Source organism: Homo sapiens, chromosome 22, assembly GCF_000001405.40.
Source record: "Homo sapiens chromosome 22, GRCh38.p14 Primary Assembly".
Taxonomy (NCBI): Eukaryota; Metazoa; Chordata; class Mammalia; order Primates; family Hominidae; genus Homo; species Homo sapiens.
This window is the reverse complement of record NC_000022.11, coordinates 50086248-50111386: the sequence shown is the minus strand read 5'-3', so window position 1 is coordinate 50111386 and position 25139 is coordinate 50086248. Positions and strand designations below refer to the sequence as shown.

Genomic DNA, 25139 nt, shown 5'->3' with positions numbered 1-25139 from the left:
AGCTACAAGACAAGGTTAAACATCTCCATGTTACCTTCTCTTACATCAAAGTGCTGATTTACACAACCAACTCTCCCTCCCTGTTCCTTTTCCTTTCCTCTTGCAAATGTGTATTCAGTCATGTGACCGCACCCTCTTTCTCCTCCAGCCCACTTTTCTCTTTTAAATATTGAAGGCCTCAAAATCATCTTTGGAAAAAGGCATGAACCACAGATGGTTCCTGTGGATTTGTGGTCCTTTTTCCCAGGCATGTCCTTCACCTTGGCAAAGTGAACTTCTAACTTGATTGAGACCTGTCTCACATACCTTTTGGTTACAGGAGGAAAGGCAGGCAGGGAGGGGGTGGGTCAGAGCTGGGGCTGCCCCACAAGTAGGGAGCTCAGGGAAGCCTCGTCATGGCTAGCACACAAAGAAGAACACAGATACAGGAAATCTAATAATTTTTTTTTTTAATTGGAGATGGAGTCTGGCTCTGTTACCCAGGCTGGAGTGCAGTGGCGTGATCTCTGCTCACTGCAACTTCTGCTTCCCGGGTTCAAGCAATTCTCCTGCCTCAGCCTCCAGAGTAGCTGGGATTAAGGGTGTGCGCTGCCACGCCTGGCTAATTTTTTGTATTTTAGTAGAGATGGGGTTTCACCGTGTTGCCCAGGCTGTTCTCGAACTCCTGAGCTCAGGCAATCCGCCCGCCTTGGCCTCCCAAAGTCCTAGGATTACAGGCGTGAGCCACTGTGGCCAGCCAGAAATCCAATAATTTTAAGAACCAACTACATCCAATGCATTTTTTAAATGCCAAAATGTGAAACAACAAAACAGAAAAATCCACCCAAAACAGCAATCACCAATGTAAGATGAAGGATGAAGAGCGACCCCTAACTCCACCTTCAGTCAACCATAGAGATGGCTGAAAGCTTCCAAAAGACAGTCTTTTTTTTTTTTTTGAGATGGAGTGTCACTCTGTTGTGCAGGCTGGAGTGCAGTGGCGCGATCTCGGCTCACTGCAAGCTCCGCTTCCTGGGTTCACGCCATTCTCCTGCCTCAGCCTCCCGAGTAGCTGGGACTACAGGCGCCGGCCACCACGCCTGGCTAATTTTTTGTGTTTTTAGTAGAGATGGGGTTTCACCATGTTAGCCAGGATGGTTTCAATCTCCCGACCTTGTGATCCACCCACCTCGGCCTCCCAAAGTGCTGGTATTACGGGCGTGAGCCACCGCGCCCGGCAAGACAGTCTTCTTTTTTTTGAGACAGAGTCTTCCTCTGTCACCCAGGCTGGAGTGCAGTGGTGCAATCTCGCCTCACTGCAACCTCTGCCTCTTGGGTTCAAGTGATTCTCTTGCCTCAGCCTCCCAAGTAGCTGGGATTACAGGTGCCTGCCACCACAACCGGGTAATTTTTGTATTTTTAGTAGAGACAGGGTTTCTTCATATTGGCCAGGCTGGTCTCGAACTCCTGACCTCATGATCTACCCGCCTCAGCATCCCAAAGCGTTGGGATTACAGGCGTGAGCCACCATGACCAGCCTCCTTTTCCTTTCTCTTTTTATTTTTTAAGACAGAGCCTTGCTGTGTTGCCCAGGCTAGAGTGCGGTAGCACGATCACAGCTCGCTGCAGCCTCAAGCTCCTAGGCTCAAGCAATCTTCCTGCTTCAACCTCGTGTGTAGCTGGGACCGGAGGTGCACACCACCATGCTCGGCTAATTTTTTTTTTTTTTTTTTTTTTGAGAAGGAGTCTCGCTCTGTCGCCCAGGCTGGAGTGCAGTGGCGCGATCTCGGCTCACTGCAAGCTCCACCTCCCGGGTTCACGCCATTCTCTTGCCTCAGCCTCCCAAGCAGCCGGGACTACAGGTGCCCGTCACCACGCCCGGCTAATTTTTTGTATTTTTTTAGTAGACACGGGGTTTCACCGTGTTAGCCAGGATGGTCTCGATCCCCTGACCTCATGATTCACCCGCCTCGGCCTCCCAGAGTGCTGAGATTACAGGCGTGAGCCACCGTGCCCGGCCTCGCTTGGCTAATTTTTTAATGTTTTGTAGAGATGGGGTCTCACTATGTTGCCCAGGCTGGTCTCAAATTCCTGGGCTCAGGCAATTCTCCTGCCACGGCCTCCTGAAGTGCTAGGGATGCTCTCCTCTTACCCCAACAACTCAGGGCTTGAAATGTCTACTATTTGGCTTATTAAAGTAACTCTTCAAAATATACTTATATGGGGCCTTTCACATCCCAAAGAAGAAAAGCGTTTTCTTTTTTTGAGACGGAGTTTTACTTGTCGCCCAGGCCTGAGTGCAGTGGCGCAATCTCAGCTCACTGCAACCTCTGCCTCTCAGGTTCAAGCAATTTTCCTGCCTCAGCCTCCCGAGTAGCTGGGATTACAGGCGAGCACCACCACGCCCAGCTAATTTTGTACTTTTAGTAGAGACAGAGTTTCACCACGTTGGTCAGGCTGGTCTTGAACTCCCAACCTCAGGTGATCCGTCTGCCTCAGCCTCCCAAAGTGCTAGGATTACAGGCGTTAGCCACCGCACCTGGCCAGAAAAGCATTTTCTTACCGCCTCTTCACTAGGGTCATACAAAGTGCCCTCCAGACATAGCATGACTGGCTGCTCTCCACCACCACTGCATTGACCACGTCACCTCTCCGGGGTGTGTACCCATCTGGCAGTTTCAAGGAGTCCAAGGTAAAGAAGATGCTTTCCTCTAACACCCCGTTCCTTCCACAGAGGCTAGAGATGCAGACCTGGGAGCAGAGAGCTGAGCGTCACAGGAAGCAGATGCTGCATGACGACAGGGCGCAGCTCTAACACACGCCCAAGTCAGCCCAAAGCACACAAGCTGCACCAGGAAGCTCAAGTCCGCCATCCCGTAGCACTGGTCCAGTGATTCTCCAACACACCTTTCTCCTTAGAACATTTTAGCACTGTTGCATAAGCTACAGACCTTAGAATTCAGGTATGCAAGCACTAGGAGTTATTGTTTCCAAACGAAACACAGCATTGTCAATAGGAAAACACACTCCTCTTTGGCCATGACAAAGCTTTATTTTTCCAGGCTTCCAACACATGCAGGAGAAGCCTGGGCCGTGCAAGTTACCCCTGATGGCAGGTCTGCCAGAAGCACAGAGAGGAGCCACTAGTCGGCACGCTACCTTGTCCACGCGCTTGTATCTCAGTGGCTTCACTGAGGTGGCTTCGCTGCTCCACGTGCCAGGCCGGATCCGGTACTCAGCCTCCACCCAGTCTCCCTTGCAGGGCTCGAAGCCTAAAACCGCCAGGAAAAAAGCCATGGTAGTGTTAAAGTGCACAAGTTATTCTGAGGTCATGGTGCACTGAAATCATTTCTATCATACCTGAGGATACATTTGAACATTTAAAAGGCACTTTCTACTACTGTGAGAAACATATTTTCGAATAAAAAACCCTGAAGTATTATTATTAACCACTGCAATAAAATGAGCTGAGCTGGAGCCTCTCACTCACACCTCCAGGCTCTAGAAGGTGCAGTGTGCATGCTCGTGGCAGTCCCTCCTCGTGTGGCACATCTGAGGGCAGGTGGCATCCCCCTTCCCCCGTCCTGCAGTGTTTGTGGCACCTCCCTGTCAGGGACACACACACGGTGTTCGGGAACAGAGAGACACCTGAACTCAGGTGTGAGGGAAGCACTCAGTGGTCCAGCCAGCCCCTCAGTGTGCCAGAGAGCTGTGCTGTGGTCCAAGCCATGGCCTGCCGGACGCAAGACACCGCTGGGCCTCCCGCAGCTGGTGGAAAACTGCAGGTTCAGTGACATGAAGTGGCTGAGTGGTGCTGACAGAACAGAGAGATGGTCTGCACAGGTCTGCCATGGTACAGGTAGTTAAAATCTTTTTGTTATTTTGCAATAAGCACTCTGGAAGCTCAAAAAAAAAAAAGTGTATAATTGAATACTGAGTTTGTGTCTCCAGAAAGCTGGTGATGAACACGTAACAGCACAAATAGCAGCTGACACCTACATTCGACATGTGAGCCATGGTGAAATCACTGTCTATGTGAAAACAGAGGCCAAGCGCGGTGGCTCACGCCTGTAATCCCAGCACTTTGGGAGGCCGAGGCGGGTGGATCACGAGGTCAGGAGATCGAGACCACGGTGAAACCCCGTCTCTACTAAAAATACAAAAAATTAGCTGGGAGCGGTGGTAGGCGCCTGTAGTCCCAGCTACTCGGGAGGCTGAGGCAGGAGAATGGCGTGAACCCGGGAGGTGGAGTTTGCAGTGAGCTGAGATCACGCCACTGCACTCCAGCCTGGGTGACACAGCGAGACACCGTCTCAAAAAAAAAGAAAAGAAAGAAAACAGAAGACACTAAAATATGCTAGGGCACTGACTTCAAGGTCAGGGAGTATTTTAAGAAGACCATGTCCTGGCCGGGCATGGTGGCTCACGCCTGTAATCCCAGCACTTTGGGAGGCCGAGGCGGGTGGATCATGAGGTCAGGAGATTGAGACCATCCTGGTTAACACAGTGAAACCCCGTCTCTACTAAAAATACAAAAAATTAGCCAGGCGTGGTGGCAGGCGCCTGTGGTCCCAGCTACTCGGGAGGCTGAGGCAGGAGAATGGCATGAACCCGGGAGGCAGAGCTTACAGTGAGCCGAGATTGAGCCACTGCACTCCAGCCTAGGCAACAGAGCGAGATTCCGTCTCAAAAAAAAAAAAAAAAAAAAGACCATGTCCTAAAACCACAATTTAATACGTGCAACTCTGGAGACACATTTATACAGCGTTTTGTAAACCATGCCTTCATTTATTCCACAATTAACAGAATTTTGCCAATTTTTATTCTCAATTTCCCTGGACATAAATGAAAAGTGAAGCAATAGCTATTAATGTACTAGTTCTATACGTTGTACAGTTACTTTAAAGAAAAAAAAAGTTAAATTCAATTAATTTTTTTTTCCAGCAGAATCATGGAATCATAGTAAAGATTTCTAGCACTTTGTGAGGCTGAGGTGGGAAGATCACTTGAGCCCAGGAGTTTGAGACCAGCCTGGGCAACACAGTAAGATCCCATCTCTAAAAAAAAAAAAAAAAAAAAAAAGAATTAGTTGGGGTGTGGTGGCATGAGCCTGAAGTCCCAGCTACTCACGAGGCTAAGGTGGGATGACTTAAGCCCAGGAATTCCAGGCTGCAGTGAGCTACAATTGTGCCACTGCACTCCAGCCTGGGTGACAGAGCAAGACCCCGTCTCTAAAAAACAAAAACAAGCAAACAAAAGTAAAGATTTCAGAAGACCTTTCTATTGAAGGAGAAATATTTGACATTATGGTGAATGCCATTGTAAATTAAGTTTAGAAATTCAACACTGGAGATAAAAATATATGTTTCTACAGTGATAACAGGATGTTAACGGAGTAAAGCACCACAGTACAAATCAGACCCTGCAGGTCAGGAAGCTGAGACAGCAGAAATGCACTCAGATGGCTATAGCGCACACGTGATCCTCCAGACATGCAGCCAGCTGGAAGACAAGCACGTACAAGTTCCTGAACTTCTATGACATACATACATGCACAACTCCTGTGACAAAGCTCATGACAACGAAACACACACACGGACACTGGGGGCTGGCAGCCCTCATTTTCTCTTTGCTGCTCCCCCAACCTGGATTTTACAAATGCTGGAACCTGAGGAACCGTTCTGTAAATCAACCAAAAGGTCCTGTGATGATGCTCCTTTTACTTTCTTTTTAAGTGAGATCTCTAAATTTTGGTTTTACTTTTTTCAAGTCAGCAGAAAATCTTTATTTAATACATGTAGAACCCCAAATCTTCAGCTTTTGATAACTTTTGCAAATTGTAGTTATTGAAAATAAAGCTGATGAGCAGGAACATGGAAAAACAATGGAGGAAATAATGAGGCCTCAGGAGCCCAAATGGAGTCCACAGATGAATGCTCAAATTCTAAGACTGGACTTGAGAATATGCCAAACTTTCAAAAGAATCTTTCGATGAAGCCCTTTCTTAAACTGGACAAGCTGACATTGTGTAAGGGCATGAATGGCCCTGAGACGCTGAGAAGGCCTACACATGAAAAGAATGACAGAGACAACTTACTTGATGAATGTCAGCTTGTAAAAATGTTTGAACACTTATGGGCTCTGAATTGATGCAAAAAGACAGTACCTATGAAAACATCTGGGCTGGAACAGTAATATATTTCAATAGAAAAAAATACAGAATTGTCAACATCTTACATTTTACAGATTTTGCTTTGAGTTTACTAATATTTCCTCAATTAAAAACACTGTGGCTCAAGAACAGCCTGGGCAATGCGGTGAAACCCTGTCTCTACAAGAAACACAAACATTAGCTGGGCATGGAAGTGCATGTATGTAGTCCCAGCTACTAGGGAGGCTGAGGTGGGAGGACTGCTTGAGCCCACGAGGTTGAGGCTGCAATGAGCTATGACTGAGCCACTGCATTCCAGCCTGGATGACAGAGGGAGACTCTGTCTTTAAAAAAAAAAAAAAAAAGAAGGCTCAATCAAAGGTGTTTACAATTTCAATTTCAAATTCATCAACCATAAAATGCAACTTTGAAGACGACACCACGCAATTATAGAAATAATAAGAGTAAGATCATATTGCAAAATATACATTTTTCGGAAAAATACATCTTAGATGCTAAGATATTAAAGTATGTTAATATGTACCAAGAATATAATGTCCAGATAACCAATATGACATTTTTTAATATACTCACCTTTTTTTAATAGTTTCTGAAAAATACTTCTTTAAAAGTCCACTAATATAATAAAATCACTCTGTTAACCAATACATAGATATTTCAAAAATGATCTAATTTTAATTCTGACATCCCCTTTCCTTCTCAAACGTGTACCAGTTTGGAGGCTAAACCACATGGTCATCCTGGCTGTAGCTCCGGCTGTGAGGGGCCGTGGCCTCATGGGAAGGACAGACGCCTCCAAAGGGCACCAGGCAGGGAGTGCCCCTCCCAAACTCACTCCCCTGACCCCTGTGCCAATTTCTGCTAGTGCTTTCCACAAGCACCAAGAACAAGGCTGGACAGTCCACACAGGGCAGGCTGGGGGAGAGTAGACAGAAGGCACCGGACTGTGGCCTGTTAGAAACCAAGCTGCACAGCAGGAAGTGAGCTGGGGATAACAAGCAAAGTTTCATCTATATTTGCAGCCACTCCCCATTGCTCACATTACAGCCTGAGCGCCACCTCCTATCAGATCAGCAGGGGTAGTAGATTCTCATAGGAGCTGGAACCCTATTGTGAACCGTGCATGCGAGGGATCTAGGTTGCGTGCTCCTTATGAGAATCTAATGCCTGACGATCTGTCACTGTCTCCCATCACCCCCAGATGGGACCATCTAGTTCTGGGAAAACAAGCTCAGGGCTCCCACTGATTCCATGTTATGGTGAGTTGTATAATTATTTCCTTATAAATTACAACATAATAATAATAGAAATAAAGTGCACAATAAATGTAATGCACTGAAATCATCCCAAAACTATCCTCCCTCCCTGGTCTGTGGAAAAAATTATCTTTCACAAAACTGGTCCCTGGTGCCAAAGAGTTTGGGGACTGCTGCTCTAAGTGGATGCACAAACTGGTATAACTTGAAAATAATGAAATCACCTGATGTGTGACCCAGCTGGGTGCTGCGGCCACACGGACTACAATAAGAACCTGTGAAACCTTGATCTCACCATAGACTACTCAGTGCTCAACTGGGAATGAAGAGGGCCGGGACAGAGCCACCACATGCTCGCAGCTCAGACCCCACCTTCAGGCCAGTGGATCCTACCTGGGGGCTATTCTGTCCTCAGGGGCCATTTGATGGCATCTGGACATGCTCTAGGTTGTCATAACATGGCCAGGGTAGGATGCAGCTAAACAGCCTCCAGTGCCCAAGACAAGCCCCACCACAGAGAGTGCTTCAGCCTAGATGTTGGAGCGCTGAGGATGAGAAACTGTGCTTCAGCTAAATGTCCAATTCAATTTTAGCTGCCTTCATCCAAATGGCAGAGGGTTTACCAGACATTCGTGTATAAAACAACCTGAGCCCCACCACTGATGTTAAGAATTCCCATCTCACATGTGTTGTCTACAAACCTCAGGAGCAGGCCAGGGCTGGGGGACAGTGCTGTTCAAACATGCACAAGCACGGTCTCTTCCTCCAGTCACGTGCCCCAGCACGCTGTCCACATTTGCTCCCTCCCACGCTACAACCACGTGTTCCCCTCTGCTGCCCTCGTGTGTCAGACCTCACCTAGGTAACCTCAGAGGGTTGTGTTTAGGACAGAACCTGACCCAGGCCGGCTGGCATTACCTGGACCCTCCTCCCGCCACACCTGTGACCCGCTCAGCTCTGCCCTAGCCTCAAGGCTACACGCAGGAAGGAACTCCAAACCACCCACTCTAGTCCTCTGACACGACCCTGGACAGTTGCTGCAGAGCAGAAGATGTTAATTACTTTTTCTTTTTTTTTTTGAGAAGGAGTTTTGCTCTGTCGCCCAGGCTGGAGTGCAGTGGTGTGATCTTGGCTCACCGCAACCTCTGCCTCCCAGGTTCAAGCGATTCTCCTGCCTTAGCCTCCAGAGTAGCTGGGATTACAGGCATGCACCACCACGCCCAGCTAATTTTGTATTTTTAGTAGAGACGGGGTTTCTCCATGTTGGTCAGGCTGGTCTCCAACTCCCAACCTCAGGTGATCCGCCCGCCTCAGCCTCCCAAAGTGCTGGGATGACAGGTGTGAGCCACTGTGCCAGGCCTGATGCTAATTATTTTCTTTGTTCACTTGCTTACTGTCTGTTCTCTCAAAATGCGAATTCTCTGAAGCAGTGTCTAGCACAGCAAGCACTCTAATAATTTGTTGAATTAACGTCAAGAAGGAAACAGCATCTTCTGACTCTCCCACAAGCAAATGAAAAATTTAGCATAATTCTTCCTTTTGCCACCTTTAGGTCAGAAGTTATAAATAAAGTTTTATGAGGACACAGCCGCACCTTTTGCTCATGTACAGCTATGTCTGCTTTCAGCTACGTGGTACGACCATCCTGTGGGGAGGAGCTTTGAAGGAGACGGTGCTTGACCGGTTTGCTGATCTCATTAGATACTCTGTATCAGCCTTTTTGCACATTGTATTTTCTCTTTCAAAAAAGTTCTTTTGCTGTGGTCCTTAGGTTTTGTGATTGTGTTCACAGCAATTCTGACATGTCTGAGTGTGACTCTCTCAGCCTCAAGAGGACCTGACTTTGCCTCACTTGAGGTTTTTTATACTGGGAAATCCCTTGGCCTGGGCTCCGGATCCCTGCCCATCTTTATTACTCAGGGGACACCTTCTCTTCTCTGCCCCATCAACATCTGCAACATCAAACATTTCTGGTTTTCTTCCTCTTGAGCCATTTCCTGGCGACACCCCTGAGAGGGGCTTCCTGTTAGCAGGGTTGAGGGGCCTCCATGATTATAGGCGCCTTTCCCCAGAACTGAGCGTTTCTCTGGCAGCACAGAGATTCTAAAATCCCAATAGACACCTATCAATTTCATCTTGGGGATCCCAGGGTTAACAACCAAGGTCAAGGCTGGGCACAGTGGTTCATGCCTATAATCCCAGCACTTTGGGAGGCCGAGGTGGGTGAATCACCTGAGGTCAAGAGTTCGAGACCAGCCTGACCAACATGGCGAAACCCCGTGTCTACTAAAAATACAAAAATTAGCCAGGTGTGGTGGCACACAGCTGTAGTCCCAGCTACTCAGGAAGCTGAGGCAAGAGAATTGCTTGAATCCAGGAGGTGGAGGTTACAGTGAGCCACCACTGCACTCGAGCCTGGGCAACAAGAGCGAAACTCTGTCTCAAACAAAGAAAAAAAAAACAAAACCCACAAAAGGTCAGGCGCAGTGGCTCATGCCTGTAATCCCAGCACTTTGGCAGGTGGATCACAAGGTCAGGAGATCGAGACCATCCTGGCTAACACATTGAAACCCCGTCTCTACTAAAAATACAAAAAATTAGCCAGGTGTGGTGGCGGGCACCTGTAGTCCCAGCTATTCAGGAGGCTGAGGCAGGAGAATGGCATGAACCTGGAAGGCGGAGCTTGAAGTAAGCCAAGATTGTGCTACTGTACTCCAGCCTGGGAAACAGAGGAAGATTCCGTCTCAAAACAAAAACAAAAACACACATACACATAAAAACCAAGGTGAAAAAGAGTGAGACAGCAGCTTCCTGGTGGGCAGAGCTACCCCCCAGACCTCCCACCCCCCAGCTTAAAGCAGAAAACTTCTATTCATCTTCCAACAGGCAGTGCTGTGGGCTGTGCAAATGGACTTCAGCTCAGAAGCCACTTCCCCAGGCAGCTTTTCCAATTCCTGCCCTACCACAATGTATGCACAGGTCTGTTTCTCCTGGGAAAGAAGAAACAGACCTGAGTATGGAGTCCAGCTCCGTCTTCACCACCATAGGCAGCAGGAGTAGAGTAAACCGCTGCTGAGTTCAGCTCAGTCAATGACATCGACATATTCTTTCTTTAGGTATAAAAACAAATCCTTTGATCAGCCAAAAACAAATGCAATAAAAAATGGATATATAAAGCCGGGAGTGGTGGCTCACGCCTGTAATCCCAGCACTTTGGGAGGCCAAGGCGGGCAGATCACAAGGTCAGGAGTTCAAGACCAGACTGGCCAACATGGTGAAACCCTGTCTCTACTAAAGACACAAAAAGTTAGCCTGCTGTGGTGGTGGGCACCTGTAGTCTCAGGAGGCTGAGGCAGGAGAATCGCCTGAACCCAGGAGGCGGAGGTTGCAGTAAGCTGAGATCGTGCCACTGCACTCCAGCCTGGGCGACAGGGTGAGACTCCATCTCAAAAAAAAGAAAGAAAGAAAGAAAGAAAAAGGATATATACTTTAGGAAACGTACAATGTCATCCCCAAGCCCTATTTTAAAACATCTAAAGTACTTTAAATAGTACCTCAGCATGCCAGTAACACTAACTTAGATCATAACACTATAATTATATGGAAGCAACAACTACCCAGAAATTACTGACTGCATTTAACAAATGAACACAAAACACATAAAAGCACAAGTTTAAACAGTGACCTGGCTGGGTGTGGTGGCTCATGCCTGTAATCCCAGCACTTTAGGAGGCCGAGGCAGGTGGATCACCTAAGGTCAAGAGTTCGAGACCAGCCCGGCCAACCTGATGAAACCCCATCTTTACTAAAAATACAAAAAATTAGCTGGGCATGGTGGTGCACACCTGTAATCCCAGCTACTCAGGAGGCTGAGGCAGGAGAATCAATCAAACCCAGGAAGCAGAGGTTGCAGTGAGCTGAGATCATACCACTGCACTCCAGCCTGGGCAACAGAGTGAGACTCCATCTCGAAAAACAAAAACAAAAACAAAAACAAAAAAAACAAAACAGTGACCTGGTGCCCTCTCCCATAGTCCACTCAATATCCAAGAGCCTCTGTGTGAAGCCAGCACCTGGAGAAGCTACTCTAATCCCGAAACCCTCTCAACAAACAAAGCATGCCCAAAACTGATCCCTTCAATGTTGTGTGTAGCCATCACAAATATAGACACAGGGTTGTGTTCTGTCACCCAGGCTGGAGTGTAGTGGCTGGATCATAGCTCACTGCAGCCTCCAACTCCTGGGCTCAAGCGATCCTCCTGTCTCAGCCTGACAAAGTGCTGGGATTATAGGCATGAGCCACCGTGCCTGGTCCATAACAATTCTTTAAAAGACAAAACCTAATTTTCAATGTGGAACACAGACCCCTGAGCATACCTTCGCACACACTCTCCAGAGAGAAGTAGGTGGTCTGACTGATACAGCCTGCGCCCTCCACCAGGGAAGTCACACAGCCAATCAACACTCGGGGGCCGCAGTCTGAGGGACTCCCATGGTTTCTGCTGTCGTCTTCCCACTTATCAGAGACAGCTTCTACCTGTAAAACAAACACACCGCTCTAAACCATAATACGAGAACTACAAGAAAAGCAAACTACAGGCTGGCATGCCTGTCTGAGACCATTAGGGCTGCAAGTCCAAGATCAAGGCCCTGGCAGATTCCGGGTCTGGTGAGGGCCTTCTTCCTGGTATACCGTCGGTGTCTTCCTGCTGTGTCCTCACATGGCAGAAAGGGCAAAGGGGTTCTCTGGGGTATGTTTCATAAGGGCTCTGCCCTTGTGACCCAGTCACCCACCAAAGCCTCCTAATAAGATTCCACTGGGGTCAGGATTTCAACATACGTATTTTGGGGGACACCAACATTGAGTCTATAGCAATCCCTTATGAACACTGATGCAAAAATCCTCAATGAAATATTATCAAACCAAATGCAGCAGCATATTAAAAGGATTATACCCCATGACTAAGTGGGGTTTATCCCAGAATGCAAAAGTGTTTCAACATATGAAAATCAGTCAACATATTACATTGATAAGATGAGGGAAAAAATCACGATGATCTCAACTGATGCACAAAAAGCATTTGACAAAATCAACACTTTTTATGATGCAAACACTCAATAAACTAGGAATCGCAGGAAATCTCTTCAACACGAGAAAGGCCATAAACAAAAATCTCACAACAAACACCACACTCAATGGTGAAAGGCCGAAAGCTTTCCCCTAAGATCAGGAACCAGGCAAGGATGCCCATGCTTACTTCAAGACTTTCAAATTTCAATTATCTTTATTCACAGATGGTAGGATCTCATCTGTGGAAAACTCTAAAGATTCCACACACGTAAATGAAACAAAAAATGGTTAGAGCTAATAAATGAATCCAGCACAGGACACAAAGTCAACATACAAAAATCAGATTTCCATACATTTGCAATGAAAAATCCAAAAAGGAAATCAAGAAAAATGATCCAAAGAAAGGGAAAACAATTCCATTTATAACAGCACTGTTAGGTTAATAGGTTAATTCCTCAGAACACTTAGTAACCTAACTAAGGAGATGGAAGACACGTAAAATGACACTAATGAATGAATTAAATACCTCAATAAACAGCAAGACAACCGCGTTCATGAATTGGAAAACCTAATATTATTAAAATGACAATCTTAAGACTTAATTATTAAGATGATAATACTACTCAAAGTGATTATGTGATTATTAAGATGTTAATCTTAATAATTATTATTAAGATGTTAATCTTAATACTTAATTATTATTAAGATGACAATCTTAGACTTAATTATTAAGATGACAATACTACCCAAAGTGATCTATTACACAAATTCAGGTTGGGTGTGGTAGCTCATGCCTGTAATTCCAGCACTTTGGGAGGTTGAGGCAGGTGGATCACTTGAGGTCAGGAGTTCAAGACCAGCCTGGTCAACATGGTGAAACCCCATCTCTACTAAAAATACAAAAAAAATTAGCTGGGTGTAGTGGCAAGCACCTGCAGTCCCAGCTACTTGGGAGGCTGAGGCATGAGAATTGCTTGAACCAGGGAGGCGGAGGTTGCAATGAGTCAATATCACATCATTGCACTCCATCCTGGGTGACAGAGCAAGACTCTGTCTCAAACAAACAACAAAAAAACCCAACAAATGCAACGCAATCCCTATCAAAGTCCTATGGGTCTATTTTTATATAAATAGAAAAACTCATCTAAAATTCTAATGGAATCTCAAGGGACCATGAATAGGCAAAATGGTCTTGAAAAGGAGTAACAAAATTGAAGGTTTCATACCTCCTGATTTCAAAACTTCCTACAAAGTTACAGTCATCAAACTAGTGTGGCACCAGTGTAAGGACAGAAATATAAACCAATGGAATAGTAAAGAGACCCAGAAATAAACCCTTGCATGTGCAGTCAATTGATTTTTGACAAGGACCATTCAATAAACTGCAATTGTGCAGTCTCAAAAAAAAATAGTGCTGGGAAAATAACCATGGGCAAAATAATAAAGTTAGACTCTCGTTTTACACCAAACACAAAAATTAACTCAAAATGGATTAAAGAGGCCAGGCGTGGTGGCTTACCCCTATAATCTCAGCATTTGGAAAGGCGTGGGATGGGCGGATCACTTGAGCCCAGGAGTTCGAGACCAGCCTGGGCAACATAGAGAGGCCCCATCTCTACAAAAAATACAAAAATTGGGTGAGGCAGCACACACCTGTAGTCCCAGCTGCTCAGGTGGCTAAGGTGGAAGGATCACTTCAGCCTGGGAGGTTGAGGCTGCAGTGAGCTGTGACTGTGCTGCTGCACTCCAGCCTGGGCAACAAAGTGAGATCCTGTCTCAAAAAATTTTTTTTAATGAATCAAAGACTTTAATTTAAAAGCAAAAACTATAAAACTCTTGGTAGAAAAAAATCTTCATAATCTTGGATTAGTCAATGGTATCTTGAGTGTGACATCAGAAGTACATGCAATAAAAGAGACAAATTAGACTTCCACCAAAATTTAAAACATCTGTGCATCAAAGGATACCATGAAGAAAGTGAAAAGACAATTGATAAAATGAGAGAAAGTATTTGCAAATCATGTATGTGATGAGAGATTAATATCCAGAATATATAAAGAATTCCTACTACAAGAAAACAACCTAATTTCAAAACGGGCAAAGGATTTGAGTAGATATTTCTCCAAAGAAGATATATAGATGGCCAATAAGCACATGAAAAGATGCCCTCACAAATCATTAGGGAAATGCAAATCAAAACCACAGTGAGATACTACCTCACAACTACGAGGAATAGCTACTGTCAAAAGAAAAAAAAAGAAAAAGAAAATAGCAAGTGTTGGCAAGGATACAGAAAAAGTGGCAGCCTCATGCACTGTTGGTGGGAACATATAACGGTGCAGCTGCTGTGGAAAACATCTGGTTCCTCACAAAGTTAAACCTAGACTTACCATACAGCCCAGCAATTCTCTTCCTAGGCGTAGCCCCAAAAGAACTGAACAAGGACTCAGACAGACTTGTTCATGGCAGCACAATTCACAACAACCAAAAAGTAGAAACAACCCAAGTGTCCATCAACAGATGAATGGAGAAACAAAATGTGATTTATTCACACAATGGAATATTCAGCCATAAAAAAGGAATTAACTTTTGATACATGCTACATGGGCAAATCTTGAAAACAGAAGTCAAATAGCCAGACACATGATTCCGCTTATATGAGGTATTTAGAATGGGCAAATTCATAGAGACATAAAGTAGAACACTGAATAACTGTTTAATGGGTACAGAGTGTCTACTGGGATGCTGAAAAAGTGCTGAAGACAGATTGTGGTGATGGCTGCGCAACAATGTGAACGTGCTTAATGCCACTGAACCGTACATTTCAATATGGTTAAAATGGTATATTACGCATATTTTACCACAAGAAAAATATCTAAATAAAAAATAAATCCAGAAGTACATTCAGGTTTATACCAAATGGGGATCATTCCCATCAAGTGAGAACGGCTCACAACACAGAAACTGTATTTTCCACCATATTAATAGCAAAGGGACAGAAACTATGGGATCATTTGGAAGATACTGAAAAGTACTTGAAAAATCCATTACTAATTTATAAAAGCAAGATTGTGAGTAGAGATGAACCCTCTTCACCATAACAAAAAAGGTCCTGCATTCCTTACAAGATGGAACAAGTGAAGGGCAGCTGACCACCAAGAGGGCTGGGATTTGCTGGACACCCAGGGGCCAGTTTTTCCACATTGTCACATTTCTGAGATCAGAATGAGTCTCACAACCTACGTTTCCATTTTAAATTTTCATTATCAAATTAATGGTGTATCTTAAAATCAACGGGAATTTGGTATGAGAACCTGCTTTGGAAGGCCGCGTGTGAGTACACGACCACAGCTCAGAGAATGAGGTAAACATCATCTCTACAGGTTCTGGGTTCCAGATCCTCTTTCAAAGATTCTGAACCCAGAGTACTCCTTTAAATACACACAAAAACATGAGGACTATCGTATAATTTCAAGTTCAAAAGGAAATCTTTGGAGGAAAAAATATAATTAAATAATTGGGAGAGGAAAAGAGGGTAGTGTGAATGAGCCAGTTGTACATCTCTGATGATGGAAGTCCATAAATACTAACATTGGTGAATTAATAAAAGATACAAGCATATTGTTTAAGTGACTCAACTATCTACCAGATAAGGTAGAAACAGAAACCCAGAAGAGCATCAGGTCTGCAGCATGAAAGTGCAGGTGGGGAACGTGGAGGGAGGCTCTTCTACTTTGCATTCACAGTCTCTAAGCCAGAGCTGACAGAAATGTTCTCTATGTGTGCTGCCCAATTTGGTAGTCACTAGGCTTCAGTTAGCACTTGAAATGTGGCCAGGGAAACTGAGGAAACACTTTTATTTATTTATTTTTAAGAGACAGGGTCTCTATGTGCCCAGGCTGGTCTCGAACTCCCGCCTCAGCCTCCCGAGTGCTGGGACTCCAGGTTTATGCCACCGCGCCTGGCTGTAAGTTGCATTTAGTTTTAATAAATCGAAACTGCTGCACATGAGTGGTGGCTACCATATTGAATGATGGAATTCTAGACTTTGAATTATTTTATTGGGTATGCTTTTTTTTTAATTTGAGAAAGATGATACTAAGCATTAGATGGTACTAACTATAATAGTATAATAAAGTACATCTCAAGTATTTTTAAAAAGTAGTTAATAGCTCAATACGTTTGCCAGATTCCAAATTACATTTAAAAATCGCTGGGCATGGTGGCTCATGCCTGTAATCCCGGCACTTTGGGAGGCCGAGGTGGCGGATCACGAGGTCAGGAGATCGAGACCATCCTGGCTAACACAGTGAAACCCCATCTCTACTAAAAATACAAAAAATTAGCTGGGCGTGGTGGCAGGCGCCTGTAGTCCCAGCTACTCTGGAGGCTGAGGCAGGAGAATGGTGTGAACCCAGAAGATGGAGCTTGCAGTGAGCCAAGATCATGCCACTGCACTCCAGCCTGGGTGACAGAGCGAGACTCCGTCTCAAAAAAAAAAAAAAAAAATTGAAAGCTTTCCCATACAGGAAGAAAAAGATTAATTTGAAAATACGATGGAAAATGATGTTAATAGAACACATAAAAACTCCTGAAAATAAATTTAGTAAGAAATTTACAGGACCTAAAAGAAGAAAACTATTGAACTATAAAAAGAATACAAAGGAAGGCTTAAATAAATGGACAGACATATGGAAAAGACTCCATATGACCCAAATATCAATTATTCTAAATGAAATGCATAAACTCAGTGCCATCCAAAGCAAATCTGGGCAGAGGGGGAGAAACAAGATTCCAAACTCATCCAGAACATGTGAAGAGCCAGAAAAATACCATATGCTAATAAGAGCAAAGAAGGGAAACCTGCTCACCACCTATCACAGCAACCATGCCATGGGGCCCCCTTACAAGCATCAGGACCACATCACATGCAGGTGGGATTCTGATACATGATTAAGGAATTTTCCAAATCAGCAGGGAAAAAGTGAGCTACTCAGATGACTGGCTAGCCATTAGGAAAGCAATGTCTGGTTCCTTCTCTCAGTCTGTGCACCCAAATAAATTCCAGGCAGGTCAAATATTTAAATATCAACAAACAGGCCAGGCATGGTGGCTCATGCCTGTAATCCCAACACTTTGGGAGGCCGAGGTGGAAGGACCACTCGAGGCCAGGAGTTTCAGATCAGCCTACGCAACACAGTGAGACGCCATTTCTACAAAAAAATTTTAAAAATTAGTCAGGTATGATGGTGTACACCTGTGGTCCCAGTTACTCAGGAGGCTGAGGTGGAAGAATCGCTTGAGCTCAGGAGTTCCAGGCTGCAGTGAACTATAATCGCACTACTATACTCCAGCCTGGGCGACAGCGCAAAGCTCTGTCTCAAAAATTGAAAAAAAAATTCTAATTGTCAATAAACAATTTTCAGAGTAAAATTTGAATATTAGGAATAAGAAGTGGAATAAGCCTCCCTAAGGCTTCTTACAGCATCCAAAAGCTACATGGAAAAGAGGCACACTTAACTACAAAAAATGAAACTATAAAACACAGTCAAAGATGATCCTGGGGAAAATATTCCTAACACTTTCATATAATAATTTTCCTTAAAAAGCTCTGATTTCCCTAATATATAAGCTTTAACAAAAGAAAAAGCTGAACTCAACAAAAATGTGGACAAAGGACCCAAAAATAATTCATAGAAAAAACATGAGGCCGGGCGCGGTGGCTCACACCTGTAATCCTAGCACTTTGGGAGGCTGAGGTGGGCAGATCACGAGGTCAGGAGCTCCAGACCATCCTGGCTAACACGGTGAAACCCCGTCTCTACTAAAAATACAAAAAAATTAACTGGGTGTGGTGGTGGGTGCCTGTAGTCCCAGCTACTCAGGAGGCTGAGGCAGGAGAATGGCGTGAACCCAGGAGGCGGAGCTTGCAGTGAGCTGAGATTGCGTCACTGCACTCCAGCCTGGGCGACAGAGACTCCGTCTCAGAAAAAAACAAAAACAAAAACAAAAAGAAAAAGAAAAGTTACCATACTTAAGGCTTAAGTGCAAATTAAGTGCAGTCTCTCATTCTGCTCCTAAGAGTATAAATTTGTATATTATTGATGTTACTTTGGTGATAACCATTAAATTGTTGAAAAAGCAAGAAAATAATGGATATATAATTGCTATGTTCTCCACAGCATAAATTCATAGGCAAACTTTACTTTCTAAAGTATACATGTCTATGTTGTTTGAATGATTTACAAAGACTGCTGTTTGTTTATTTATTGAGACAGGGTCTTGCTCTGTCATCCAGGCTGGAGTGTGGTAGTGCAATCATAACTCATTGCAGCCTTGACCCTCTGGGCTCAAGCGATCCTCCCGCCTCAGCCTCCCATGTAGCTGGGACTACAGGTATGTGCCACGACACCAGGCTAACTTTTGTGGGTTTTTTTTTTGTAGACACGAGGTTTCACCATGCTGCCCAGGCTGGTCTCTTAACACCTGAGCTCAAGTGATCTGCCTGTCTCAGCCTTCCAAAGTGCTGGGATTACAGGCGTGAGCCACTGTACCCAGTCTATTTTTTAAAACATAAATCATAAAGAGCAAAAGCATCCCCTTGAAGGTACATTCCACTCTTTCTCCCTTGGCCGGGTCATGTCTGATAGATTAAACACAAGGAAAAACAACACAAAGTCCCGTGGCGAAGAAAAACTGTTCCCAAATGAACTCAAACCTTACCCTGATTGCTTTCAGTCCATTGGACACTTTATTTTCTTCCACAACTGCAATCACTTCCTGTCCAACATTCAGAAGCACTCTGCTAGTCACAGCATCACTGGAGAAGTAGATCATATCATCAATCATGCCATAATCGCTGCAGTACCTTGTCACGACACCCCGTACAGTTTTCAGCTTAGTGTCACCTGAGGTAGGTAAACAAAGAAGTTATCTTGGCCATAAAAGCAAGCGTACGCTACAGTGAACCCCACCAGAGAAAGGCAGAGTGCAAAAGCCTCCTTTTTTTGCAGTTCGGAGGCACTGACTCCGAACGGGCTGACTTGAGACAGAGAGAATCCCATCAGAGAGTGCTGTGTCTGGAACGTGGGGTTTGGAGGCAGACAGCCCAGTTTCCTCAGAAGGGCACAGGTAGTGGTTGTGGAGGTGACAGCCCTGACTCCACAACAGACTGCATGGGGTTGACTCCTAGCTCTTCTACTGCCATTGGTGTAACCCTGGACTAGGTCCTTAACTACTCTGGGCCTGTTGCCATCTGTAAGATGGAGACTAATCGTCACTACCCAAGAGAGCTGCTGAAGGGTTAAGTGGCAGAACACACGTGCATGTATGGACCTCTGCGTGGCTGACACGCGTTAAGTGCTATGTAAATGGCCACTTATATCAGCATCTGGGAGTCATTAGCATGCACGGTTTTATTAGTACTATCGATTATCTTTTTATTACCATCAGCAGCAGCCTCGGAAGACTGGAGAATCTCAACAAACACGGTGCTGGAAAAGGTTCGGGGCTGGGCAGACAAGTCTGGCCCAGGAGCAGCGCACGCCCTCAGCCGTCTGGCCACTGCTGCAGCCACGGTCCTGAGTCCTGAACGTGCCTTTACTGCAGCTTCCCAGCCACGGGAGGAACCTGGGGCGACGGTTACAGTACAGGCATAGGATCTGAGCGCTGCCAAGAGCTGGAGCTCCAGCTACCGCTGAGCGCGTGTTCTACCGAAGAGATCCACGGAGCAAGTGCTCCAGGTAACACAGCCGGCCCCCCGGGCATCGGCCCTCGTGGATCCAGAGGCCCTGAACACGCTGCCTGCAGCAGGAAGCTCCCCTCCTGAAGCCTGTTCCTGTCTTTTCTCACAGAAGGCAATTAGGGACCCACTACTGTGGATTCCATTCCCACATAAGGAAACATCGGGAGAAGCCATCAGAACCTCGGGAGAGGTCGGGCGTGGTGGCTCAAGCCTGTAATCCCAGCACTTTGGGAGGCCAAGGTGGGTGGGTCACCTGAGATCAGGAGTTCGAGACCAGCCTGACCAACATGGCGAACCCCCCCTCGACTAAAAATACAAAAATTAGCCGGGCGTGGTGGCGGGTGCCTATAATCCCCGCTGCTCGGGAGGCTGAGGCAGGAGAATCACTTGAACCCAGAAGGCGGAGGTTGCGGTGAGCCGAGATTGCGCCACTGCACTCCAGCCTGGGCAACAAGAGCGAAACTCCGTCTCACACACACACACACACAAACACCTCAGGAGAAAGGAACGGTGAGGGCATCCGGGCGCATCCCGGGCTTTAGAAAGATGGGCTTGAAAACCAGACAAGGAAATGGCACGCCTTGGCGCAGCGCGTTCTGAAAGGACAGGCCAAGTCTGCGGGGCCGCGTTTTTCGGGGCTTTCTAGACACACCACCGCCAATGACGCTGCGGACAGGGAGGAACGACATGGAGAGACGACTTGGCAGCTGCTCGGCGTAAACACACAAAGTGAGGGCGGGAAGAGGGGCTGGTGTCACCGGAGAGACCTCACAGAGGACGGGCGCCCAGAGCGGCGGGATGCTGTGGGGTCGGAAGCCTCCTGAGGCGAACGGGGATCCCCGCCAGCGGAGATGAGGAAAGGCCGGGCCCAGCGTTGCCTGCCGGCCCGCACTGCACTCAAAGACCTATGGGCGCGGCTCCCTCGTGGCCGACACGCGAGGGCCCGGGACCCGCCTCCCAGCCGCCTCCCGCGAGCCACCTTCCGCGAGCTCGGGCTCCAGCTGCCCGGCTTCCTCCCTAGGGGTGTCCGCCGTCCTCCAGAAGAAGGCCACCAGCTTGGCTGCGAGGCTCAGCATGGCCCTCGCCCGGCCTAGGCTGCCGTCACCGCCGCTGCCGCCGCCCGCACGCGCCCGCGCCGCTCCCGCCGCCCGCCACCAATGGGGTCGCCGCGCCTGGGCATGCGCCTTGGGGTCGTTGCGCGAGCCGGGACCCGTAGCGGTCAGAGGTCGGCGGTTGGCGCCTGGCAGCTCCTGACAAGGCGAGGTGCCTGGTGGGAGTGACGTCATGCCGAGCGCGCAAGGCGGTGTGACCGCCGGGTGGGCGGGGCTTCGAGCGGGCGGGCGGGGCCTCGCGTGGGTGGGCGGAGCTTCGAGCGGGTCCGCCTTCTTGCCGCCCACACATTAGGGAAAAGTGCGCTTTCACCACCCAGAGTGATGTTAGGAGTCGTTTTTTGTTGGTGTTTTTTATCAAGTTGAGGAAGTTCCCTCTATTCCTGTTTTTCCAAGAGTTCTTATGAGTGGGTGTGAAATTTTCTGCAACGCTTTTCTGCATGTATTCAAATGATCCTGTAGCTTTTTATTTCAGCCCATAGGGAATTACATTGTTTGGCTCTCCTTGGAAAACTCACTTGGTCACGATTCGTTATCCTTTTGGTGTATTGCCTGACTCAGCTTGGTAACGCTTTGTCCAAGGTTGGGGACGGTGCTGGTGAAGCAGATTGCTCTGTGGCCGACCTCCCGTTTTCTGTGTCTGTCTGGTTTGGGGTCGGTTTAAGCCGGGCCTGCAGTGACCTGGGAGTAGGATGGGGTAACTTATTCCCTAAAAATTGTGGTAGTATTCGCTGGGGAACCCATTTGGGCTTCGAGATTTCTTTGTGGGAAGGTTTTTAATGAGAAATTCACTTCTGCATCAGCTAGAGGGCTATTCAAGTTATCAAGGTAATATTGAATAAACTTTGGTAATTCTTTTAAGGAATTTGTCCATTTCATCCAATTATTAGATGTCAGATTATTGGCATAAAGTTGTTCAGCATATTTCCTTATTATCCTTTTAACGTCTGTATGGTCCATAATGATGAGCCATCTTTCATTCTTGACATAGGTAATTTATCTCATCCCTCTCATTTTCCTTGATCAGTCTATATTTATCAATTTTATTGAGTTTTTAAAAAAAATCATCCCTTGATTTCATTGATTTTTCTCTATTTTAAAAATATCTTTACACTTTGCGAGGCCAAGGTGAGCAGATCACTTGAGGTCAGGAGTTCGAGACCAGCCTGGTCAACCTGCCAAAATCCTGTCTCTACAAAAAAATACAAAAAAAATTAGCCAGGCATGGTGGCGCATGCCTGTAATCCCAACTACTTGGGAGGCTGAAGCAGAAGAATCACTTGAACCCAGGAGGTGGAGGTTGCAGTGAGCTGAGATCACACCACTACACTCCAGCCTGGGAGACAGAGCAAGACTCTGCCTCAAAACAAAAACAAAAACAAAATACGTATATATATCTTTACTATTCCAGTGGTTTCTGTTTTTTATTATTTCTTTTTTTTTTTTTTTGAGATGGAGTCCTGCTCCGTCGCCCAGGCTGGAATGCAGTGGCATGATCTTAGCTCACTGTAGCCTCCACCTCCCGGGTTCAAGTGATTCTCCTGCCTCAGCCTCCAGAGCAGCTGGGATTACAGGCGTGCGCCACCACGCTGGCTTTTTTTTTTTTTTTTTTTTTTTTTTTTTTTTGTATTTTTAGTAGCGACAAGGTTTTACCATGTTGGTCAGGCTGGTCTCGAACTTCTGACCCGCAGGTGATCCACCCGCCTTGGCCTCCCGAGTGCTGGGATTACAGGTGTGAGCCACTGCGCCCAGCCCCGACTTATTTTTGATTGACATAGCTTTATTTTCCTAGGTCAGATCTGTCAGTCTGATGACAGCCTGGACCTTGCCTGTCCATGGATGCAGAGTGTACTGATAGTTCTTGCTGTGGGAAGGGAGAGAGTGGCGCACTCCCTAGCATTTCAAATCCCCGCTAAGCCTGTGTCTTGGGCTGGGTGCTGGAACACATACAGGAGCCAGCAGGGTCCCAGGGACCTACTGGTTGGTGGGAGATTAGCTTGGAAACAAGAGCGAGCTGCATGAGGGCTGGTGGCTCATGGGCTCCCTGCCAGGGCAGCTCGCAGCGGGTGCTGTGCCTGCAGGGCTGCCCCTCAGCTCCCCAGCTCGGGCCACTCCCTGGGATTCTGGACTCAGTAGACCCGGCAGATGCCCACAGACATCTCGGCCTCATCATGTCCAGAATGGAACTCCAGATCCTCGCTCCACACCTGCTCCACCCTGGTCTTCTCATCTCTGTCCTCACTGCTCAGACAGAACTCAGCAACGTCGCCCTGACAGCAGATTGCGTCCGCTCTTCAAACCCTGTTCAGAGCCCAGTCCCTCCTCACCACTTGCCCACTGCCACCTCAATGCCAGGCAGCACCTGCTCCTCCCACCCCCCAGCCTGCTCTCCACCCAGTGAGTGACCGGATGCTGCTCTGCCCAGACCCCTCCAGCAGGTCTGTCTCAGAGTTGAAGCAGAGTCGTCTCCATACCCACAGGTGCTGGCACCTGGCTGTCCTACCTGTATCCCCCTTGCATGGTCCTCGCCTGCCTTCCCCAACCTGTGGCCTTTGCTTCAACTCTGCCAGCCTCCCCTCCCTGCCTCCTTCTCACTGAGGCCTGCCCTGGCCCCTGCAAACAGCAGCCCCTCATTTCTCTCCCCTGACTTCTTTTCCCTCATAGAGGAAATCATGTGTGTCACTGGATGCATTAGTCTGTTCTCACGCTGCTATAAGGACATACCCAAGACTGGGTAATTTTAGAGTCAAGTCCTTATAAAGGAAAGAGCTTTAATTGACTCACAGTTCCACAGGGCTGAGGAGGCCTCAGGAAACTTACAATCATGGTGGAAGGGGAAGCAAACATGTCCTTCTTCACAAGGTGGCAGGAAGGAGAAGTCTTGAGCAAAAGCGGGGAAAGCCCCTTATAAAAGACCATCAGATCTCATAAGACCTCACTCATTGTCAGGAGAACAGCAGCATGGGGGTAACCACCCCCATGATTCAATTACCTCCCACCGGGCCCCTTCCACGACATGTAGGAATTATGGGAATTACAATTCAAGATGAGATTTGAGTGGGGACACAGCCAAACCATATCACTGTATAACACACTAATTTGTTTATCCTGTGCACTCCTGTGCCCCCAATGAATGTAAACAGCCTATAGGAAGGACGTCACTTCTTTGTCCACCCCATAAATGTTTGTTGAATGTTGAATGATGATGGGACATCAGCAGGCAGAGGGATGAAGGGCATTTTAGGAGCAAGAATTTGTTGGAAGATTGTATGAAAGAACAGGGCCTGTTCTAGAAACTAGTGTTGCCAACAGAAACTTGGGAGCATTTCTCAAGTGATGACTTATGATCTGGGAAGCTGAGGGATTTGCTCTGCAACCTCTGGTTCAGGGCAGCTTGTTTGTATTTCTAAGTGGAGAGCAACTTTTGAAAGAAAAAAATGTTGAAATCCGATTAACATTTTTTTCCAAACAAAAAGAAACACAGGAGGATTCGATCCAGTTGGACCCACTCCCACTAATCCCGTTTATCGCTTTAAAAGATAGTGAAGTTTGGGAGGTTTCTCAATCCATTAAAATGAGTTCTTGACTTCACAGATTATAGTTTTTGAAAATTATTTCTCATCCTTGCTTGATTGAAATGAAGACAACAGAACATTGGCTGTGGTGGCTGGCACAAAATTAACTAACCCTAAAATACTAGTATAGCTTAAACTTTCGTTTATTGCTAAAAATTTATCACTGCTGTTTCCTGTGGGGGTGAGGTTGAGCAAAGTGTTTTGAGCTGCATTTATGCGTACTTGACACTTAC

General features: G+C 46.5%; 1 protein-coding gene across 16 annotated transcripts in view, besides 1 other annotated feature; it reads right to left on the bottom strand.

Annotated features, from left to right (window-relative positions):
* Positions 1 to 21381, bottom strand: part of MOV10L1 (Mov10 like RNA helicase 1) — a 71682-nt gene extending 50301 nt beyond the window's left edge. For 10 of the 16 annotated variants that reach the window (XM_011530696.2, XM_017028833.2, NM_018995.3 and 7 more), the window contains exons 1-5: positions 21202 to 21381; positions 19202 to 19386; positions 11785 to 11944; positions 3139 to 3251; positions 2543 to 2730 (exon numbers count right to left, since the gene is read on the bottom strand). In XM_011530696.2, the coding sequence (XP_011528998.1) occupies positions 2543 to 2730; positions 3139 to 3251; positions 11785 to 11944; positions 19202 to 19386; positions 21202 to 21298 (743 nt within the window). In that variant the 5' untranslated portion in view covers positions 21299 to 21381. Of the gene's footprint in view, positions 1 to 2542; positions 2731 to 3138; positions 3252 to 11784; positions 11945 to 19201; positions 19387 to 19924; positions 20450 to 20874 lie in introns of those variants that run through there. The other 6 variants (XM_011530697.2, XM_005261923.5, NM_001164105.2 and 3 more) reach the window with 4 other exon arrangements.
* Positions 5455 to 5564: an enhancer, noted in NCBI's record as "active region_19297". NCBI's record gives its function as "activates an Ori minimal core promoter by ATAC-STARR-seq in GM12878 lymphoblastoid cells {active_cell/tissue: GM12878}" and the evidence as "EXISTENCE:reporter gene assay evidence [ECO:0000049][PMID:35858748]".